At 49.5% G+C, this 22,775-nt stretch overlaps 1 long non-coding RNA gene, 1 pseudogene and 1 further gene across 2 annotated transcripts in view, besides 2 other annotated features; 2 read left to right on the forward strand and 1 right to left on the reverse strand.

The window, feature by feature from the left end:
- LOC105372952 (uncharacterized) lies at positions 1 to 9,857 on the reverse strand. Its single transcript, XR_938055.3, has 3 exons — positions 9,387 to 9,857; positions 7,500 to 7,670; positions 1 to 6,635 (listed from the first exon to the last, which is right to left on the reverse strand). It is a non-coding gene; the product is annotated as an uncharacterized LOC105372952 (long non-coding RNA).
- The window catches only part of IGL (immunoglobulin lambda locus), an 896,838-nt gene that overhangs the window by 262,220 nt on the left and 611,843 nt on the right, over positions 1 to 22,775 (forward strand).
- Positions 1,758 to 2,265: an enhancer, noted in NCBI's record as "H3K4me1 hESC enhancer chr22:22644419-22644926 (GRCh37/hg19 assembly coordinates)". NCBI's record gives its function as "activates a minimal SCP1, AML or CMV promoter by ChIP-STARR-seq in naive H9 embryonic stem cells {active_cell/tissue: H9 hESC(naive)}" and the evidence as "EXISTENCE:reporter gene assay evidence [ECO:0000049][PMID:30033119]".
- Positions 9,650 to 9,949: a silencer, noted in NCBI's record as "silent region_13524". NCBI's record gives its function as "represses an Ori minimal core promoter by ATAC-STARR-seq in GM12878 lymphoblastoid cells {active_cell/tissue: GM12878}" and the evidence as "EXISTENCE:reporter gene assay evidence [ECO:0000049][PMID:35858748]".
- BMS1P20 (BMS1 pseudogene 20) overlaps positions 9,803 to 22,775 on the forward strand; it is a 24,871-nt pseudogene continuing 11,898 nt past the window's right edge. The window contains 8 exon segments of the transcript NR_027293.2: positions 9,803 to 9,916; positions 14,929 to 15,002; positions 15,648 to 15,819; positions 18,495 to 18,608; positions 18,811 to 18,950; positions 20,402 to 20,524; positions 21,441 to 21,588; positions 21,931 to 22,106. The product of NR_027293.2 is annotated as a BMS1 pseudogene 20 (transcript).

Genomic DNA, 22,775 nt, shown 5'->3' on the forward strand with positions numbered 1-22,775 from the left:
TGCCTGGCTAAAAATAGTATTATATTTTTGTATCATATAATTTTCAATTAGGTAATATGAATATTCTGTACAGGAAATACGCCCTTAATTACATAGGAATAAACATTTGTTACACTGAGAAAAATCTAACAGAGCTAAAAATAAAAATTAATTTGGAAAGGTCATTAGATACTGACACATTCTTACGTTTATACATTCTTTCATATATTCATATATTCTTTTAACAGTATCAATGGTTTGGAGTTATGTGTACAAAACCATGACCTATATGTAATACAACTAATAACAGGCACTTACAATTCAAGGCATATTATATACAAAGCTTTAACTTCTTATCAAAATATTTTGTTTTTTTTCTTTCTGTTTTGGCAGATACTATGAATACAACATTCAACTCACAGACACCATGGAGCCCTTACTAAGCATAAAGTACTGTGAAAGGCCAGGGCTAGGACAGAACTGAGACAGGGCCAGGGATAGGACAGAACCGGGGCAGGGTCATGGCCAGAGAAAAACCAGGGGCAGGGTCACAGCCAGGGACATGAGAGGACCAAGGCCAGGGCCAGAAGCAGGGCAGAACCAGGGCCAGGGCAGGGACATGGCAGGGCCAGGGCCATGGCAGGATCAGGGTCAGCAGAAGGCCAGGGCAGGGCTAGGGTAGCACAGGGCCAAGGCAGGGCAGGGTCAGTGTAGAGCAAGGAACGGGCCAGGGTATGGCAGGGCAGGGACAGGGAGGTCCAGGGCCAGAGTCAGGTCCAGGACATGGACAGGGCAGGGCCAGAAACATGGCAGGACCAGAAAGGGGACAGGGCAAGGGCAAGGCCAGAGAAGGACCATGGAAAAAACATGGCCAGGGAGGGTCCAGGGCAAGGGCAAGGCCAGGGCAGAACCAGAGCCAGGGCAGGCCAAAGGCAGGGCCAGGGCAGGGCAAGGCCAGGGTAGGGTGGGGCCAGGGTAGGGTGAGGGTAGGGCCAGGGCGAGTTCAGGGCCAGGGCAGGACTAAGATAGCACAGGGCCAAGGCAGGGCCAGGGCAGGGCCAAAAGGAGGGGCCAGGGCCAAGCATGGCCAGTGTCAGACCTGGGGATTGTCAGGGCCAGGGTCAGGGTCAAGGCTGGGCCAGGGACAGGGCCAGAGCAAGGGCAGGGCCAGGGAGAAAGCAGAACCAGAGAGGATCCAGAGCAAGGCCAGGGTCAGGGAAGAACCAGGACCAGGATAAGGCAAAGCCAAGGCCAGGGCAGGGCAAGACCAGGGCAGGGCAAGACCAGGGCAGGGCAAGGCCAGGGTAGGGCCAGGCCAGGGTAGGAGAAGGCCATGATAGGGCCAAGGCCAAGGCAGGGCAGGGCTAGGGTAGCACAGGGCATGGCCAAAAACAGGGCAGGGCCATAGCAGTGGCAGGACTAGCAACAGGGCCAGGGCAAGCGCTGGACCACAGCATGGTGGGGACAATACAGGGCCAGGACAGAGGATGGCAAGGCAGGTCCAGGGCCATTTCATGGACTCGGTAGGCCTGGGGTCAGGCCAGGGCAGGGCAAAGGCAAGGCCAGGGAGAAGGCAAGGCCGGGGCCAAGGCAGTGCCAGGGCAGGGCAGGACCAGTGCAGGGCCAACGCAGGGTGAGGGCAAGGCCAGGGCATGGAAGGGCAGGGCAGGACCAAGGGGAAGGGCCAGGAGAGGGCCACGGCAGGGTCACGGCCAGAACAAGGGTATGGCTGGGGTCAGGAATATGGTAGGACGAGGGCTGGGCCCAGGCTGGGACACGCAGGGCAGAGCATGGCCTGTGCAAGGCACGGCCAGAGCCAGGCCATAGAGATGGGAGGGCAACACCAAGGCAGAGTCAGGGTAGATCCAGGGCTGAGCAGAGTCAGGGCAGGTCCAGAGTCGAGGCAGAGCTAGGGCCCAAGCAGGGCCATGGTAGCACCAGGGCAGAGGAGGGCAGGGCAATGCAGGACTGGGCCATGGCAGTGCCTGGTCAACTCCGGGGCAGGGCCAGAAGCAGGACAGGGCCAGGGCCAATGCTCAGGCCAGGGACAGGGCATGACAGGACGTGCCAGAGCAGGGCTGGGCCAATGTTGGGGCAGGACAAATCAGACCAGGACACCTCCAAGTCCAGCTCTGGCCCTGCCTTGGCCCTGGACCCTTCCTGGCCTGACCTTGTCCCTGGCCCTGCCCTATCCATGCCCTGTGTGTTTGACCACTGTTTTATAACCAGAATCCTACAAGAAACTTAAATTAGTTCTTTTTGTGCATTTTTAGTAGAGATGGGGTTTCACAATGTTGACCAGGCTGGTTCCAAACTCCTGAGCTCAAGCCATCTGCCTGCCTTGGCCTCCCAAAGTGCTGGGATTACAGGAGTAATCTGGCCAAGTATTTAACTTCTTTATGCCTGTTTCCTACATTTGGAAAATGGGGATGCTTTAAGTACCTAGCACATAGAATTATTGTGAGAATCAATGCCTCACATATTTACATATTGATAAAATTATACTCATAGAACACTACTGGAAACAAAGACAGTATTAGTTAAAATTTAGTGATTACTGCAAATATTATTACTATTACAAACAACATAGTATAGACATTACTACTACTATAGTTATCTTAAAAATCTAAAATAAAAATTTTACATAATAGCCTAATGTAATCTCTCCTGCTCTGCCCTGGCTCAGCCCTAGTGCTGGCTCTGCCCCTAGTCCTACTACATCCCTGGCCCTGACCCTTCCCTGGTCCAGCCGCTGCCCTGGCCCTTCCCATCTTCAGGCCTTACCACGGCCCTACCCTGGTCCTGACCCTGCCCTGGTCTGGTCCTGACCCTGGCCCTACCCCACAGAAGGGGTATGGCAGAGCCAGGGAAGGGCCAGGGCAAATAAGTGACAGGACACATCCAAATCCAGGAAAGGGCCAGGGCTATGACAGAGCCAGGGCAAGTCCTTGGCAGGGCCAGGTTCCAGGCCAGGGCCAGGAAAGGGTCATGGCAGGGTCACTGTATGGCCAAGGTCCAGGCCAAAGCCAAGGCAGTGGCAGGGTCAGGGCTGCATAAGGGCAGGACCAGAGCCAGTGATACGGCAGGGCCAGGGCCAGGGCCAGGGCTGTGCCAGGACAGAACAAGAGCAGAGCAGGGCAGGACCAGAGCCAGGCCATAGAGAGAGTAGGGCAAATGCCAAGGCAAGGCCAGGGTAGTGCCAGGGCTGAGGCAAGGTCAGGGAAGGTCCAGGGCTGAGTCAAGGCTAGAACCAAGACAGGGGCAAAGGCCGGGGCAGATCTAGGGCACAAGCAGAGCAGGCTAGGGCAGGGCAATGGCAAGACCAGGCCATGGCAGGGCCAGCCCAGGATAGAAGAGGGCACAGGCAGGGCAGGGCCAGGGCCACAGCTGGGGCAGGACAAGGACCAGGACCGGGGTCCAGGCCAGGGCAAGGGTATGGCCAGGGCAGAGGTAGGGCCAGAGCCAGGGTCTGGGCAGGACCAAGGCAGGTCTGTTGCAGGGCCAGGGTTCAGACCAGGGCCAGAGCAGGGCTGGGACAGGGCCAGGGCCAGAACCAGGAAAGGGCAATGTCAGGACAAGGGCCATGGCAGGACCAGCAACGGGGCTGGGGCCAGGACAGGGTCAGGACCAGGGCTGGGCCAGGGTATGGCCTTAAGTAGCGAAGGGCCAGGGCCAGGGTCCATGCCAGTGCCAGCGCCGGTCCAGGGCAGACGCAGGGCCATGGCCAGGTCTAGGACAAGGCTGGGGCAGGGCCAAGGTCTGGGTCAGGGTCAGCACAAGACCAGGACAGAGCCAGGGGAGGGACAGGGCCATGGTAAGACCAGATTAAATCAGGGACAAGACACCTGCAAATCCACTTCAGGGCCAGGGTCAGGGCAGGGCCAGTTCAGGGCCAGGGCCAGGGCCAAGACAGGGCCAGGGTTAGGGCTCCCAGGGTCATTGGCAGGGCCAGGGTCAGGGCTGCCAGGGTCATTGGCAGGGCCAGGGCCATGGCAGGACCAGGGTCAGGAGCAGGGGTCAATGCCAGGCCAAGGCCACACATAGGACCAGGTCTGTGCTAGGGCCAGTGTGAGGGCCAAGGCGGGGTCAGGGCAGGGCCAAAGGGAGGGCAGGGCCAGGGCAGGGTGATGCAGGCCCAGGGTAGCACAGGGTTAAGGTAGGGCACGACCAACCAGGGCAGGTCTATGGCTGGGGCCGGGGCAGGGCCAGGGCCAGGGCAGGGCCAGAGCCAGGGCAGGGCCAAGACAGTGGCAGCTCCAGGGCAGGGCCAGGGTTAGGACCACGGACATGTCCAAGGCCAGTGCCAGGGCAAGGGCAAGGGCAGGGGCAGGGCCAGGTTCATCTAAGAACCAGGGACAAAGCCAGGCCCAGAGATGGGCCAGGACAGGTACCTGGCAGGGCTAGGGTCTGGGCCAGGGCCACGGCAGGGCCAGGGCCACAACCAGGTCTGTGCTATAGCCAGGTCCAACACAGTGCCCAGGTAAGGCTAGGTAGAAGGCCAAGGTAGGGCCAGGGCAGGGTCAAAGCCAGGCTAGGGCCAAGGCAGGGCCAGGGCTGGCAAGGCAGGGCCAGGAAAGCATAGGGCCAAGGCAGGGCAGGGCCAGGCCAGTACCAAGACCTGGGCAGGGCCAGGGGCAGGGCCAGGGGCAGGGCCACGGCCACAGCCTAGGCAGGACCAGGTTCGGGGCAGGAGCAAAACAAGGGTAAGGACAGTGCAGGTTCTTGGCACAGCCAGGGTCCAGGACAGTGTCAGGGCAGGGCCAAGGCAGGGTCTGGGCCTTGATAAGACCAGCAACAGGGCTGGGGCTAGGCCAGTGACAGGACCAGAGTCAGGGCAAGGGCCAGAGCAGTGCAAGGCCAGGGTAGGGCCAGGCATTTCAGGGTCAGGGCCAGGGGAGAACCAGGGCAAGGTCTGAAGCAGGGAAGGGCCAGGGCCAGGACAGGTCCAGGGCAGGGCCATGACACGGCCAGGGGCTGCGTTAGGGCAAGGGCAGGGCCAGAGCAAGGTAAGGGTCAGGGCCAAGGCCAGGGTAGGGACAGGGCAAGAAATATGGCAGGACCAGGGGCAATGCCAAGGCCAAGGCTGGGCCAGGGCTGAGCCAGGGCTGAGTCAGGGCAGGGCAAGGCAGGGCATGGTATGGCCAGTGCAGGACAGGACAAGAGCCAGTCCAGAGAGAGAGCAGGGCTGATGCCAAGAAAGAGCCAGGCTAGTGCCGAGGCTGAGGCAGTGTCAGAGCATGTCCAGGGCAGGGCCGGGGCCAGGGACAGAACCGAGCCAGGGCACAGCCAAGACAGGGTAGGGCAGGGAAATAGCATGGCTGGGTCAGTACTGGGACAGGGCAGAGCAGGGCAAGGCGATGGTAGCGGCAGGGCAGGGACAGGCCAATGCAGAGCCATGTCATGCCGGGGCCAGGACACCTCCAAGTCCACTTCAGGCCCAGGGCTATGGCAGGACAAAGACCAGGGCCAGGATCAGGGCCAGGTCTGTGCTAGGGCCAGCTCCAGATGAGGGTCTAGCGAAGACTAGGGTGAGGGCCAAGGTAAGGCCAGGGCAGGGTCAAAGGCAGAGTAGGGCCAGGTCAGGGTGATGACACATCCAGAGCACAACAGGGCAGGGTGATGGCAAGACCAGGGGCAGACCACTGCCAGCTCAGGGCCAAGGAAAGGCCAGTGCAGAGCCAGGAAAGGGTCTGGGTCTGAACAAGGCAGAGCAGGGCCAGGGCCATGGCAGAGTCAGGGCAGGTCCTTGACAGGACCAGGTTCCAGGCCAGGGCTAGGGCAGCAGCAGGGGCAGGGCCTGGATAAGGGCAGGGCCAGGGATATGGCAGGACCAGGGCTAGGGCCAGGGCCAGGCCATAGTGAGGGCAGGGCAAAAGCCAAGGCAGGGTCAGGGCAGGTCCAGGGCAGGTCCAGGGAGCGGCCAGCACCAAGCGGGGCCAAGGCACAACCAGCGCAGGGTAAGGCAGGACAATGGCACCACTGGGCCATGACAGGGCAAGGTCAGCACCAGGAGAGGGCAGAACAGGCAGGCCCATGGTGGGGCCAGGGCAGGGATGGGCCAAAGCAGGGCCAGGACATGTCCAAGGCCAGGTCAGGGCCAGAACAGGAGCAGGACCATGACCATTGGCAGGGCCAGTGCCATGACAGGACCAGGGTCAGGACAAGGGGCAGGGCCAGAGCCAGGGCCAGAGCCAAGGTCAGGCCAGTGCAGGTTCAGGGCAGGGCCAGTGCCAGGGCAAGACCAGGGCAGGGACAGGGTAGCACAGGGCCAAGACAGGGTCAGGATGGGAGCAGAGCAGGACAGGGCCGAGAGTCCAGGTAACAGTAGAGCAGGTATAGGGCAAGGCAGGGCAGTACAGGGCCAGATCCATGGCAGGCGCAGGGCAAAGCCAGGCCCATTGCCAATGCACCAGCCCTCCCTACAAGGCTCCTACCACCTGGCCACTGCTGCAGCCCGTCCATCGCTGTAAGCCTGAACCCCAACCCTGGCTGCAGCCACCTGCCCTCCTAGTGCGGCCGCTCTCCTACCGCTCTGGCGCACTGCAATCTCCGTCACTGCCACCCACCCGCAGCGAGGCAAGCCGTGGTGTCGCAGGCTCAAGGTGTCTCCTCCTCCTCCTGGCACGGAGCAGCTGGGCAGGCAAAGCCAGAAAAGCCTAGAGGAAGATGTGAGGGGTGGAAGGGTTAGAGCCTCAACTTGTCATGCCAGCCACTGGGTGGCAGGGGCCAGTTTCAGCAAAGGCACTCACACCCACCCTCCAAAGTCCAGCCTCTCCTTTTGGCCCAAGCTGGCCGGGAACTGGGGTCTGGGGTGGGTGCTGGAGATATCACAGCACCCAGCTCCCCACTCCACAGGAACCATTGGGCCCACCGGGGCTGCACTCCTCGGGGAGCAGGAGAAGCAGAAAAATTCAGACCCAGCCAGCCCTCCGCACCCAGGTGCCAATTCCTGTTCCGGACGCCTCCACGCACAGGGCCCTGTCCCCCATGGTGTCCCCAGGGGTGCCTGGCAGCCTCTGAGGCACAGACCCAGAGTGCACAGGCCCAGGAACCACGGTGGGTGTGGGGGCTCTGCCATGCTCAGGATTCCCACGCAAACGCTGTGTGCCCTGCCGCATTCCAGTATGACCAAGAGTGGGTCGCCCTCTGGAGTGTGGAGTCAGGGAGAGGAGAACCACTCCTTCCTTGGATGCCAACTCTGTTGACCGCCGCCAGCAGTGCAGCCCCTGATAGCACCGAACTCGCCCCCGCTCCACGGCTAGTCCTGCCCTCAATAGCGCCCCCCACCTCCGTCCCCCAATGCCGCCAGTAGCGTATACCCGATAATGCCCTAACCTGTCCTCCTCCATGGGCACTGAAGCCCCAGAAAGCGCCCATAACCCACCCTCCCTGCTGTGGGCAGTGCAGCCCTGTACAGTGCTACCAACCAGTACCCCTAATGCAGGCAATGACACCCTGGATAGCGCCCCCAACCCACCCCACACTGCGAAAGGTGCAGCCCTGGATAGCCCCTGTCCTACCACTCTGTTCATGCTGCAGTCTCTGTCACCACCACCAGCAACCACAGTGAGGCAAGCCAGTGGGCCGCAGGCTCTAGCATCCAGCAGCCAGGCATGGAGCAGCTCTCGCTGATGGCCGGCTCCTACCACTCTGACCATGCTGCTGTCTGTCTCCATGGCCATCTTCTTTCACTACAAAGGAATAAAACTAGGTATCAATAAGAAAAGTAATTTTGGAAACAATACAATCACATGGAAGTTAAACACTACCCTCCTGAATAAATGACTAGCAGGTCAATGAAGATACTAAGACAGAAATTCAAAAATTTCATGAAACAAAGGGTAATGAAAACACAGTATACCAAAACTTGTTACGCAGAAAGCCATACAAAGGCAGAGATTTACAGCTACAAGTGCCTACCATCCAAACAAAAGAAAAACTTCAAATAAACAATACATCTTAAAGAACTAGTAAAGAACAAACTAAACCGAAAATAAGAAAATAAATAAGATCGTAGCAGAAACAAAATTGAAATAAAAAACACACAAGATTAAACGAAAAGTTGGTTTTCTGGAAAGCTAAACAAAATTGACAAACTTTTAACCAGGCTAAGAAAAGAGACAAGATTCAAATAAATAAAATCAACAGATTAAAAAAAGGAGACATTACAACTAATACTTCAGAAATTCAAAGGATCATAACTGGCTATTATATGCCAATAAATTGGAAAGCCTAGTAGAAATTGGCAAATTCCTAGATGCATACAACCTACTTAGGTTAAACAATGAAAACATCCAAGACCAGAACAGATTGGTAACAAGTAATGAGATTGAAGCCATCAGAAAAAGTCTCCCAGTAAAGAAAAGCCCAGGAACTGATGTCTTCACTGCTGATGGCTTCACACCAAACAATTTAAAGACCTAGTACGAATCCTGCTCAAACTATTTTGAAAAACAGGAGGGAATACTTCCAAACTTATTCTATGAGACCATTATTACTGTGATAACAAAATCAGACAAAAGCATCAAAGAAGGAAACTACAGGCCAGGATCTCTAATATTGATGCAAAAATCCTCAACAAAATACCAGTGAATCAAATTCAGTAATACATTAAAGAGATAATTCATCATGATCAAGTGGGATGTATCCCTGGGATGCAAGGGTCACTCAACATACAATGTGATACATCATATCAACCAAATAAACGACAAAAACAGTATGATCACGTCAACTGAAACCGAAAAAGCATTTGATGAAATTCAACATCCCTTCATGCTATAAATCCTCAAAGAAACGGGCACAGAAGAAACATACCGCAACATAATAAAAACTACAGGAAAGACACCCACAGCTAGAATCATATGGAATGGGGAAAAACGGAAAGCTTTTCCTCTAAGATCTGGAACATGATAAGGATGCCCCCTGTCACCACTGTTGTTTAACATAGTACCAGAAATCCTAGCTAAAGCAATCAGTACAGCCCCTGATATGGCCCCCAACCCACCCTGCCCCCTACCACCAGCAGTGTCGCCCCCCCGCAACAGCACACCCAACATACCCAAGCCGCCCCGCCTCCCCGCACCATGGGCATTACAGCACCCCATAGCGCCCTCAACCCGAAACCGCCACCCACCCCCCCACCGCCCACAGCCGCACAGTGCAGCCCCGGATAGCACACTTAGCCCACCTCACTGTTGCCAGCAATACAGTCTGGGATAGTGCCCCCAACCGGCTCCCCGCCAAAGGCAGTGCAGCCCCGGTTTGGGCTCCCAAACCATCCCCCCGTGCAGGCAGCACAGCCCCAGATAGCACACCCAACCAGCCACCCAAGACGGGCAGTGACGCCTGAGATAGGGCTCCCAACCGGTCCCAGGCCACCCGCAGTGCAGCCTGGATAGCGCGCTTACCCCAACGCCTTTCTACGCTCTGGCTGGCTGCAGTGTCCATCGCTGCCACCAACCACAAACAGGGCTGCAAACAGGAAGGATTTTATTCACCGTCGATGCGGCCCCGAGGTGTCCCAAAGCGAGGCAGTGCCCCCAAGGTCTGTGCAGAGCAGAACGCAGCTCCGCCCTCGCGGTGCCACCGGCCCGCCCGCCCGGGTCTGTGCTGAGGAGAACATTGCTCTGCCTTCGCTGTATCTCCGAAGTCTGTGCAAAGGAGAACTCAGCTCCGCCCTCGCAAAGGCACACAGCGCCGGCGTGGCGGAGAGGCGGACAGCGGCGGAGAGGCGGACAGCGGCGGAGAGGCGGACAGCGGCGGCGCGGCGGAGAGGCGGACAGCGGCGGAGAGGCGCACAGCGGCGGCGCAGGCGCGGAGAGGCGCACAGCGGCGGCGCAGGCGCGGAGAGGGGCACAGCGGCGGCGCAGGCGCGGAGAGGCGCACAGCGCGGCACAGCGAGGCGCCGGCCCAGACTCCACTCCCCAGCTGTGAAAGGGTAAGAACTGAGGGTGGCTGAGACTCGGGGTTGTTCAGGGCGGGGTGGGCTCTGGACCCAGCAGGCCCGGCACCCAGGTCAGGGCTCCAGGGGAGGCCAGGTGGGCGAAGGCCAAGAAGGGGCCGGGGCTGGTCAGGAAGGGCTCCTGGTAACCAGAGCACTTTGCGTGAGCCAGCGTGGGAGGAAGGTGGGCTGGATGAGCTAGGGAGGCGCCGGGAGGGGCCTTGGCAGAGGCGACCCCCTCCGTCAGCCCCCAGGCCACTGAACCCTGGGTAGCGAGAACCGACAGGGGAGGCTGCATACAGAGGAGTGGAGGCTCCCCGGCTTTGGGGGCTCTGAGTAGAAGCATCTAGGGGGTCCCTCAAGAGGCCCCCAAACGCCTCCCCATGGTGAGAAAAGAAAGCGCAGAGAGGGGCACGGCTGTGATTTCTTTTATTGCCCCAAATGTACTTCATCTTGGTAGATTTCTATTGGCTTTAAAAATGTGTGTGTTTTGCTGTTGGGGAGTGGGGTGTTATACGGATGTCAGATTTTGCTGGTTGACTGTTCAGATCTTTTGTAAATCCTTGCTCCTTTTCTGCCTAGTTTCACTCTGTCACTTACATTAGAGTGCGGTGGCACGAACATGACTCACTGCAGCCTTGACTTCCTAGGGTCAAGTACTTCCCCTGGCTTAACCTCCTGAGTAGCTGGTACTATAGGTGTGTGCCGCCACACCTGGCTAAATTTAAAATTTTTTGGAGAGATGAGGCCTTGCTATGTTGCCCAGGCTCGAACTCCTGGCCTCGAGCTATCCTTTGTCTTTGCCTCCCAGAGTTCTGGGATTACAGGCATGAGCCACTGTGCCCGGCCTCTGCCTAGTTTTAACAGTTGCTAAGAGGAGGATGTTGAAGTAGATGTCTTCTTGGTGGGTTAATCCTTTTGTCATTAAGCAGTTGTTATGGTCACTTCCTTTTCACCCCATTGGTGAAGGAGGGGTCCCTGCCCTAAAGTGTAGGAGATGGCTGAACACGACACCTGGCGTGGATGGATGAGATTGACAGCAGTGTTTTAGTCACATATACCCACAGCTCAGAGGAGGACACTGCATGCCACACAGGGTCAGATGGGCACCGCACTCTGTAGCGGAGTGAGGGCTGTGGGCTGAGGAAGCAGGCAGGCTTGATAGTAACAAGAGCACACAATGACCAATGGTTCCCGAGGGGGAATGCAGTTGGCTTGTTTGAATAAATTCATGGGCTGGCAGACAGGTGAAGTGAAGCTTCTTAGGCTGAGGTGCAACTGTTTGGCTGATAAAAGAACTAGCCAGGTGGGGAGCCTTTCCTGTTGGGTGGCAGGGTAGGGGGTGTCTGGTAGAAACAGGAAAACCCACGGCTAGGCCTTTGGGGCCCTGTGAGGCTCAAAGATGTCAAGGCAGCATAGGAAATTTTAGATCTTAAAATTCAGCGAAGACCCTCTCCAGCTCTGGTAAATTATTTTGCTTGAAGTCTACTTCATGAGATATTAATATATTCACTCCTGCTTCCTTAAAAAATTAATGATTTCACAGGATATCTTTCTCCATTCTTTTACTTTCAACCTACTTAGGTCCTTAAGTGAGTTTGAAGTTTCTTATGAACAGTATTTAGTTGGGCCATGTGTTTATTATAGGCTCTCCATCAATCTGTCTTTTGGTTTATTTAGACCATTTACATTTAAGGTGCTTATAGTTACATAATTGCTTATGTCTGATGTTTTTATTATTTGCTTTTTCGTTTCCTTTTTCTTTCCCTCCATCTTGATCTATTTCTGTATAATGTTGTTGCTCGTATCTCTTTGTATAGTCTTAAAGTGTTTGCTCTGGATGTTACAATATGTGTATTGTAATACAGTAGTCTACTGGTACCAGTATTTACCACTTCAAAGTGTGGAAACCTGCCTTGCATTTATGTCTCTTTACCTTTTCCACTTGTATAAATCACTGGCTTGAGTATTAGGTGGTGGTATAGTTTTTGTTTCAGTCGTCAAATGTGATTTTAAGAACTGTGGATTGTCTCGCGTATGTATCCACATTTCTGGTCTTTCCTTTGTCCCTCCTCCTATAGTCCCATATTCATCCCTTCTGCATAAGAACTTTCTGTAGCCATTTTTTTGTTTTGATTTTTTTGTTTTAATTTTTTGTATTGTGGAAATGACAGAACATATTTCTGTAGCCACTTTTTAGCATTTCTAAATTGACCAGTGACAAATTCCTATATTCTCTTCCTCTGAGAATGTCTTTATTTCTCTCTTCATTTCTGAAGGGTAGTTTCATGGGATATAGAATTTGCAGCGAACAGTTTTTTTGTTTGGTTGGTTTTTTTGTTTGGTTGTTTTTTTTTTAAACACTTGAAAATGTTGTGCCACTTCCTTCTGGCCTCCATGGCATTTGAGTTGGCGTGTCCCTACAGGCATTCTGCCATTTTTGGTCTTTGTTTTTAGTTTTGAAAGTTTAATTGGTGTTGCTTTCTTTTGGTATACTTTGAGGTTTGCTCAGCTTCTTGAATCTGTAAGTTTATATCTTTCACCAAATGTGGGAAGCCTCAGGAATTAGTTATTTGCATGCTTTCACAGCTCTGGTCTCCTATGGGACTCAGATAACATAAATGCGGGGTTATCGTCCCACAGGTCCGTGCAGCTCTGTTCATTTGTTTTCAGGTTATTTTCTCTCTCTTGTTTAGACTGGGTGAATTCTGTTGATCAGGTTTCAGCTTCTCTGATTCTCTCCTCTGTCGTCTCCACTTTTACTCAATAGGGCCCATCCAGTTAGTTTTTTTAAAATTTCTGTTACTGGATTTTATATTTCTGTAATTTCCATTTGATTCTTCAGTTTCTTTGCTGATGTTTTCAGTTCTTTGATTGTTGCCATAGGATTTGTAGTTGCTTGTTGAAGCATTTTTATACTGACTGTTATAAGTGATGAGTCAGATGGTTCCAACATCTGCCTATGTAATTTTTTTATTTTTGCAGGCAGTCCTCCTGTTTAGGTTTAGTCTGTAGGTCTTGGTCTACTTTGTGGGCTGTGATTCCAATGGCAATTTAATTTCAGAGCCTTCATGGTGTTATTTTGGTCTCTTTGGCTTATATGTATCACTGGGATTCTCCCACCAGTCCCTGTTGTTGCCCACCTGAGGGAACAGGGGAGCCGCCCTAGGCTGGGCCACCTGCTGCAGCTAGGTGGGTGGGGAATGGTGGTTGTCTTGGTGTGTGGAGCTGGTTTTCTTGTTGTGGGGAAGATCTCCTTTGATCTGCGGGGACTGAGTCTGCCTGGGTTGCCTTCTATTGCTACGTTGGGAGTTGGGAAACTCTGGGCCTGGGTCACCTTCCTATTGGATGAGGTCCAGGGAGACACCTGGCCACTATGCATTCCCTAGTCCTAGAGTCCCTCAGCAGCCTTTTTCTGTCCACCTTTTGGAATTCTCCATTGATCCTCTCCTGTCTATTATTTCTAGAGTTTGGGTTACATTTCTTAGGAGGGTATAATGTGTTATCTTCTCTAGACCAGAAATCCTTAGTGGTGGTTTCGGGTTGTAACTGTGCTAAAGGGAGAATTGGCGTATTTGTGATGTCGGGTCTTTCTTTTCAAATGAGGACATATCATTATTCAGTATATAATATTTACAACACCTACTTCCTTGGGTTGAAGAATGTGGTTAAGGCAAGGAAAGTACTTAACACAGTGCCTGGTGTGGAGAGCACTTACGAGTGTTGGTAGTGATGCTATTCCTTTTGTCCTTTGGTAGCCTATTAAAGCTTTTCTTCTTTTTTAAAAAAATAAAGTTCCGGTGCACTTCTTGTTAGGTTTATTCCTATTTTATCCTTTTTTGCTTTTATTGCAAATAGGAGCTTCCTATCTTTTATAACGTCTACCTGGTTCTTTGGCCCTTACGTGAAAATGTTTTAATAGCCTTCTAAACATTGTTCTCTCAAATGAGTTTTAATTTGCCTCTTTCTTTTGTTTTCCTTTTTTTGAGACAGGGTCTCACTCTGTCACCCAGGCTGGAGTTCAGTGACGCAATTATGGCTCACTGCAACCTCTGCCTCCTGGGCCCCCAAAGTGCTGGGTTTACAGGTGTGGGCCACTGCACCCAGCCTTACTTGTCTGTTTCTTTTAAGAGTGGGAACTATAATTGAGCCCAGAGCTCCAAAAACAAATGAAGAAATGAATGAGTGAATAAGCTCTTCCCATGGGTTTGGTGTGGTTTGGGACTCTACTCTTAATCTAAATGCTATGTTTTATATAATCTAAAATTTCCCCTAGGTGTGTTACACGATTGTGTTGTGTTGAACTTACATTGAGACTCCTTTTCACATGTGCTGGTTATCAGCGTGGGACTTTTCCATTCACTCTTTGAATTATTCGTTTGGGGGACACAGATAGACCTCTGTGTCTTTCATAAAGAGTGTCCATTGGCCGGTTGCAGTGTCTCATGCCTGTAATCCCAGCACTTTGGGAGGCTGAGGAGGGCAGATCACGAGGTCAGGAGTTCGAGACCAGCCTGGCCAATATGGTGAAATCCCATCTCTACTAAAAATACAAAAATTAGCCAGGCCTGGTGGCGGGTGCCTATAATCCCAGCTGCTCGGGAGACTGAGGCAGTAGAATTGCTTGAACCTGGGAGGCAGAGGTTGCAGTGAGCTGAGATCGTGCCACTGCACTCCAGCTTGAGTGACAGAGTGAGACTCCGTCTCCAAAAAAAAAAAAAACAAAAACAAAAGAGTGTCCATTATCTATACTAGAAAAATTGAGATTGGGATTTTGACATGAAGTGCGGAAATGTGGATTGGGTCCATTTAGTTTACCTAAACAGATGATGAAATACTAACTGTTTTACGAAGCATTCCCTAGTGCAAAGTTTTGCCTGTGTTTCTAGTGATGGGAACAGTGAGAATCAGACTTGGAACACGGAGCGCATTGTGGGCCTGTCGTGGGTGGGGCCAGCAGCACATGCATGCCGGGCTGACAGAGCAGCCTTTGGGTGTTCTTTTCCCAGAGGAGCTCTACGGTGACTTTGAAGACTTGGAAACAGGGGACGTGCACAAGGGAAAATCGGGCCCCGATACTCAGGTATGACTTTGTCGTAGCTGGCTGTTCTTGGTCATTGTGTTCTGAGAGAGGCCCGCATTGAGAAATGCAAATCTTACTTGTGATGTGTGAAGATTGCAGACTGGATGGATAGATTCCTTCCTAAAGTGTGGGGATGTGGGGACCAAAGAGAAGCTTTCTTATTTACTTGTTAAGTTTTGGACTACAGTTACTACCGTTTCTTGCCATAGTCATTTGCCAAGTCCACTGTGATTTTTCACTCACAGAAGTCTTAGCTTCTCAGACTTACATTCAACCATTGCCATCATTCTCCTCTTTTTAAATTTAAGTGTCATTTAAAAGAATGAAATCCCTGTTCTCCCTAATATTTCTTTAGAACAGGGTCTGGGAGCATCTGGGTGAGGGACATGTCTGTTATTTTTATTCTAGTTTGTGTTCCCAGCCAGCTTAAGGAATAGCAGCTAGTTGTAATGCAGATGTAACAATTTCCTGTAGCAGTACCATGTTATTCAGAGACAAAGGTTATGTTGTGTTTTGTTTTGTTTTATTGATAATGATAACAGATTTTTGCTAAGATTTTTGTTTAAATAGAACTTTAAAAAATCTAATGTTTAAAGAAAAGACCTTCATAAACATACACAAAATTTTTTCTTCTGGAAATTTAAGAATGAAGATGTAGAGAAACAAGGAAGAAATTGACCCTGACGAAGAAGAAAGTGCCAAGAAAAAGCATTTGGATAAGAAGAGAAAATTGAAGGAGATGTTTGATGTGGAATATGATGAAGGAGAAAGCACATATTTTGATGATCTTAAAGGAGAAATGCAGAAACAAGCACAGGTGAGAAACCTCAGTTCCTCTCAGCCCCTTGTCAAGACTATCACATAGTGTAGGAATCCCTGACTTTCTTTGGGTCCCTGCTTCCTATCCTGCTTCTGTGCCTTTCACTTGGACTCCTGGGTAGATGCATGTGAGTGTGTTTATTCATGCAGTGAGCTCATTGTTTCTACAGTCAGAAGGTCACCAGAAAAAGATCCATACCTATTTTGTAACAAGAATTAGGAAACCGAAATGACTGAGACATGGTCTCTACTTTTGAGACTTTTACAATGTAGCGATCTGAGATAGTGTGTTCATTTCAGTGCAAGCCAATGCTGCCTATTCCGATCGCTGCTCCCTGATTTGAATGGCAGGTGATCAGTGGCCCGTGTGGCTTATGGACACACCAGAGCTCCCAGGGGAAGTGCTCTGAAAACATCCTGGTCAGAGTTCAGAAGGACATGTGGAGTATAAGGTCAGATGCGGAGATAAGGGAGATGGTGTGGCCCTCCTGCCCAGGGGTGCTGAGCAGGTTGCTGGAGGCGGTGATCTCACTCTGAAGGAGACAGACACAGAAACGTATGTACAGTTGATGGTGAGCATCTGAGTTGCGTCTTGTTAGTGAGGCCAGGAGTGCCTGTGTAAGCTGGAACAGATTAGGTATATGATTTGTGAAACGGAGTTTCATCCTACGTCTTCATCTAGTCAAAGGACTGTTTCCTGATTAGGCATTAGCTTAGTGGTTGCTAGTCTGTGTTGACCTTTGAAAGGCATGACTAGGCTAACTCTGAAGTTGTTGCTTCACACCATTTACAATTTAAAATTACCTAGAGCCTTGTGGGCCATTGGAAAAGACTGAATGTTTCACTCTGAAATGGGAGTCCTTGGAGGGTTTTGACCAGAGAAGAGACATTCAGGTAATCAGATCACTCTGCCAAGAGATCAGTCCAGTGGCACAAACCAGAGGGCTGGCAGTGGAGATGAGACAGAGTCAAACCCGGATTGAGTTTATTTGGAAGCTGGGTCAGTAGGATTTCCTGGTGGACTGAATGTGGGGTGTGTAAGAGGAAATGAGGGTGGCGACTGGAAGTTCCTGGAAGGGTGGGTTGTTGCAGGTTAGATAGGAAACCGTCTGCAGATGCAGTTTTGGGAAGATGATGTTTGGTTCGGCTGGGTATCATGCAGACAAGCGGAGTGTCAAGTCTGGAGAGACAGGTCTGGCCAGGGACTTAGATGTACAGCCCTCAGCATGTAGATGCCACTTAACTCTGTGAGGTGGCCGGGGAGTGAGTGCAGAGTGACTGGGAGGAGCAAGACTGGCATGGGCGAGATGGGGCGATTGCGGCCGTGAGGCCTGAGCAGTGCCTAGGAGGGAGAGGGAGAAGCAGTGTGAGCATGCAGGCACGCAGGAGTCCAGTTGTACACGGAGGCGAAGCACTGTTCAGATCCCGCTGCAGTGTTAACTACGGTAAAGGCAGAGTTGACCACTGGAGGAGTCCTTCAGCGTGGAGGCCTTCAGCGATCTTGGCAAGCACCAATTTTCGTGGATGTAGGAGAATGGGAGCAGAGGAACTGGAGGCTGCAACTGCGGAAAACTTTTGTGGGGTTTTGCTGCAGAGAGAAGCAGAGAAATGAAGCAGTTGTTGGTGGAAGAAATGGAATCAAAAGGTTTTGAGATAGAGAACAGAGGGAAGAGCTGTTGGAATAAAGTCCAGGAAGAGTGGATGGTGTCTAGTGAGCAAGTGATGTGTGGCCCTGAGTAGAGGCACGTACAAATCATCTGTGCCTGAGCTGCCCTTAGAACTTTCTGTGATCATGGAGATGCACGTCTGTGCTTCCCAATATTGTAACATTGGCCGCAGGTTGATATGGACCACTTCCAGTGTGACTAGTGTGATTGAGGAACTGCATTTTAAATATTATGTAATTGTAATTAATTTTAATTTAAATAGCCACACGTAGCTCCTCTATAGGCCAGGTCAGAGCTCTGATAAGGCTGGATATGGGAGGAAACCCTGGTAGAGGGTTGACTGTAGAGGTTCTTTTGGTTTTGGAGTGAATCAGGAAACAGCCATCAGCTGAGTGAAGGTGAGGGTGGTGGTGGGTGTTTGAAGACAAGGGAAAAGTGTGAAAGAATTGTTTGGAGAGGAAGGAAAGAAGATGTGGACTGGGGATGTTTCCAATGTTCGAGCACGCAGGGCTCCACAGTTATCTACATTTGCTGTCCCTTGGAGCAGGAGAGAAGAAAACGGTTGGGACATATTCTGAGCAGACTGTAGAGGTAAAATACGTAGTTTTTTTTTGTTTTTTGAGATGGAATCTCGCTCTATTGCCCAGGCTGGAGTGCAGTGGCACGATCTTGACTCACTGCAACCTCCATCTCCCAGGTTCAAGCGATTCTCTCACCTCTGCCTCCTGAGTAGTTGGGACTACAGGCACGCACCACCACACCCAGCTGATTTTGGTATTTTTAGTAGAGCCAGGGTTTCACCATGTTGGCGAGGCTGGTTTCAAACTCCTGACCTCATGTGATCTGCCCGCCTTGGCCTCCCAAAGTGCTGGGATTACAGGCATGAGCCACTGTACCTGGCCAAATATGTAGTATTTTTAATAGGATAAAGCCTACATAATTCTGTCCACAGTTCCTTTACTTAGAAATTGCTCATTTGTTCATGTTAATGCTATGTTTATTACAGATAACAGCATACAGGTTTCCCCCCCCGACCCCGTCATGTACAGCTGAATCATGCAGAATTTGAAGATCAAGATGATGAAGCCAGAGTTCAGTATGAGGGTTTTCGACCTGGGATGTACGTCTGCGTTGAGATTGAAAATGTTCCCTGTGAATTTGTGTAGAACTTTGACCCCCGTTACCCCATTATCCTGGGTGGCTTGGGCAACAGCGAGGGAAATGTTGGATACGTGCAGGTGGGTCCCTTTGCTGCATATTTGGTGCCTGAGGCTCTGTGGATTTCCCCTCCATCAATCATCTTACCCTCTCATCCCCCTCAGATGCGTCTGAAGAAACATCGCTGGTATAAGAAAATCCTCAAGTCCCGAGATCCAATCATATTTTCTGTAGGGTGGAGGAGGTTTCAGACCATCCCGCTCTGTTATATCGAAGACCACAATGGAAGACAAAGGCTTCTAAAGTATACCCCACAGCATGTGCATCGCGGAGCAGCCTTTTGGGATAAAATATGATTACAATAACTTGCCTATTGCTGAGATTAAACCTTACAGGCTGCGTTATTTTAGCTTTGTGCTTTTCCTTTCATAAAATTCCACTCCTAAGATTTTTCTCTTTTCTGGGAGCAGGGAGGTGGTTTGGAGTATATACGTAAATCTATATCCAAATCTAAATGTCCATATCCAGTATGTTAAACTAGAATCTAAAATTTGTGGTTTGCTATATTTCTTTTTTTCCTTTTCCTTTAAGACCCTATCACTCCACAGGGAACTGGTTTCTTGGCAATACAGTCTGTCAGTGGCATAATGGTAACTATCTTGGATGATTTCTTTTACAGATTGGTTTTGAGAAATATATCCTGAATGTGGATTACTATGTACATGAGACTTTAAGTTGAAAATTACTCATTTTTATTAATATAAAGTAAATTTCCCTTTGCTTTTAATCTTCGTACATCCTTTTCAGTAGGGTGTGGGATTAGAGGAGGGGAGGTGGAAGAATTATAATGGTACATTTCCTATTTTTGTGCATCTTTTGCATTTATTTATCTAAGCAAGTACTTAAGCAGTGCTCACCATGTGCTAAGCACTGTATGAGGTTGTGAGGAGCCATCAGAGACCACCCAGACACAAGACTCCCTGCAGCTGTGCTGGGGTAGCAGTCTGTTCACTCCATTTTCATTTGACCAGTCAGGCAGGGCAGGGTTTACTGGTCCCATTTAACAGAGAAGAAAGCAGAATAATGAGCAGATGGAATCTTCCCTGGAGGTCCAAATTTTAATTTCCTAAACATTGCAACTGTATTTTTCTTTTCCATTTCGTTCCAAATAAATCATTATAGTAAAATTACATTCCTCTGAAATCACTCTCAGGAAAGTACTCAAGTAGCCTTTTTTTTTTCTTTCTTTTTTTTTTTTTTTTTTGAGACAGAGTTGCACTCTGTCGTCCAGGCTGGAGTGCAGTGGCACAATCTTGGCTCGCTGCAACCTCTGCCTCCTGGGTTTAAGCGGTTCTCCTGCCTCAGCCTCCCGAGTAGCTGGGATTACAGGTGTGCACCATCATGCCGAGCCAATTTTTGTATTTTTAGTAGAGACAGGATTTCCCCATGTTGGCCAGACTGGTTTCAAACTTCTGACCTCAGGTGATCTACCTGCCTTGGCCTCCCAAAGTGCTGGGATTACAGGTATGAGCCACTGTGCCCAGCCTCAAGTCACCCTTGTTAGTTTGGCTTACCAACTTTAAAGTTTTGGATTGCTTTTGTCAAGCCACTGGGTTGCAAGTTCAGATGGTCTTTCTTGTTTTTCTTAGCTAATTGTAAGTAAAATTCACTTTGGTAATTTATTGTGTCACATAGAATTGAAGTTTTTCTCTTGCTAATATTATTCCTATTTTCAAATTTTGGGGTTCCTGTTAGCCTGATTTTCGGATAGCTGCCACAGGAGTTGTCCTTGATCTGGATAAATCCATAAAAATTGTGAAGAAATTAAAGCTAACTGGTTTTCCATATAAAATTTTTAAGAACACTTCATTTATTAAGGTCTGTATATCTATATATTCTCATATTTATAAATCTCCATATTGTTTGAGAAAAGGAATGAAATACCTCTAAAATATGGGCCTCATATTTTTAGAAAAGTGTTTGAAATCTTTTATAAACTTCATATTTTGTTTGCTCCTTTATATTCTGTATTACTTAAATATGCTCAGAAAAGCAGTGGTAAACAGCTATTTAGGAATTGAGGCTGTTACTCCTGACTTCCATGTGAGACTGCCACAGAACTCATATTGAAAATATGTCATTTTATCCACTAGGTTTTGTTTCCTACTTTTTAAATTTGTGTTAAGAAAGGGAAAAAAATCACAAGTTTGTCTAACTCAGTAGAAAAATCGACAAAGCATTTGCAGACAACTTGGCAAGGGTACAGAGAAACGGATGTACTGTTTTTCAGTATTTGGGGAGGGTGGTTTGAGCAGCATTTATTGACAATTTCATTAGTGGGGATGTTTCTATTGAAAACAGAGTTAGGAAGTCATAAAATGTTCCTGCAATATAAGGTAATAATACCACCAGCGTTTATCTTACTGTTTTCATGTTCTAAGTGCATGCATCTGAGTAAAAGGATCTGGGCTGCAGTCCAGTCTGAGAGATGCCAGCAAAGGCTTCCTAGGCCAGTTCAGTCCAGTAAATCCCTCTTCGATCTTCTCTTCCACACAGACAGCAGTGATGAGCATGCCCATGAACTCACATGATTATTTTGGGGAAAATGAAAGAGTTGTATTCTTTTTGAGGTAGTAATTCCACTTTCAGGGGCAAATACATTTTGATTATTTTATCACCCTTCAGTGAGTTGTTTTTGTTCTTTAATCAAGGATGTATGTTTGAAGTAAGAAGTAAAGCATAAAGTATATGATTTTGTGTGTGTGTGTGTGTTTTTATCTTGCTGTACCTGTAGGGAATGTTTAATTCAGCCTTGGAAGTGGCCAAATTTGAAGGTGCTGTGATTCGAACTGTCAGTGGGATAAGGGGGCAGATCAAGAAAGCACTCTGAGCTCCAGAAGGAGCTTTCCGGGCCAGCTTTGAGGATAAGCTGCTGATGAGCGGTGAGTGTCTTAAGTAGTGTTCAGGGCAGGGTGTTACCATTCATGCTTGACTTCTAGCCAGTGTGACGAGAGGCTGGAGTCAGGTCTCCGGAGAGTTGAGCAGCTCCAGCCTTAGATCTCCCAGTCTTATGCGGTATGCCCATTCGCCTTGTGTCTGCAGCCCCCTGGCCACACCCAGTAACAGTTCTGTGATCTATGAGAATAGTTCCCTTAGCGACCTTTCCCTTCAAATACTTTGCAGCCAGGTAGAGAAGTTTGGAGTGAAGGTTTTGTTCTTTGTTTCTTCGCAATATGGATATGAATCTTCTTTTGAAAATGTTAAAGTAAATTACCTCTTTTCAGATATTGTCTTCATGCAAACTTGGTATCCTGTTTCCATCCCAGCCTTCTATAACCCAGTAACATCTTTGTTGAAACCAGTGGGTGAGAAAGACACCTGGTCAGGAACGCGGACCACGGGCCAACTCAGGCTTGCCCATGGTGTCAGACTAAAGGCAAACAAGGACTCTCTGTATAAGGTACTGGTCGTGTGTGTGTTAGTGGAGATGAAGCCTGTGCTCTACAGACAGGGAGTCACACAGACACTTTTCTATAATTTCTTACGTACTTTGAATGTTCAAGTATAAAGTCTAACATTAAATTTGATTGAACAATTGTATGTTTGTGGGATATTTTGGAGTGGAACACCAAAAAATGGTAATAGTGGTTCTTTCTGGATTGAAGACAAACTTTTCTTTTTTAAAATAAATTTTATTTTATATATTTGAGGTTGACAACATGATCTTAAAGGATACATATAGATAGTAAACTGGTTACTATAGTGAAGCAGATTAACATAGCTACCATCTCACATAGTTAGATTTTTGTTTGTGTGACAGGAACAGCTAAAATCTACTTATTTAACAAAAATCCCAAAGACAATATATTTTTATTAACTATAGCCCTCATGATGTACACTAGATCTCTAACTTGTTCATCCTACATGTCTGCTACTTTGTATTATTTTAATGTACATCTCCCCATTTCCTATTGGTCATTTCCTATTTGGCCCATTTTTCAACTGGGTTGTTTTTCTGCTATTAAGTTGTAAGAGTTCTTTACTGATTTTTGGATATTAACACTTTATCACATATGTGGTTTGCAAATATTTCTTCCAGTCTGTTGGTTCCCCTTTCATTTTGTTGGTT

The sequence above is a fragment of the Homo sapiens genome, chromosome 22 (genome assembly GCF_000001405.40).
Source record: "Homo sapiens chromosome 22, GRCh38.p14 Primary Assembly".
In the NCBI taxonomy this organism is placed as follows: domain Eukaryota; kingdom Metazoa; phylum Chordata; class Mammalia; order Primates; family Hominidae; genus Homo; species Homo sapiens.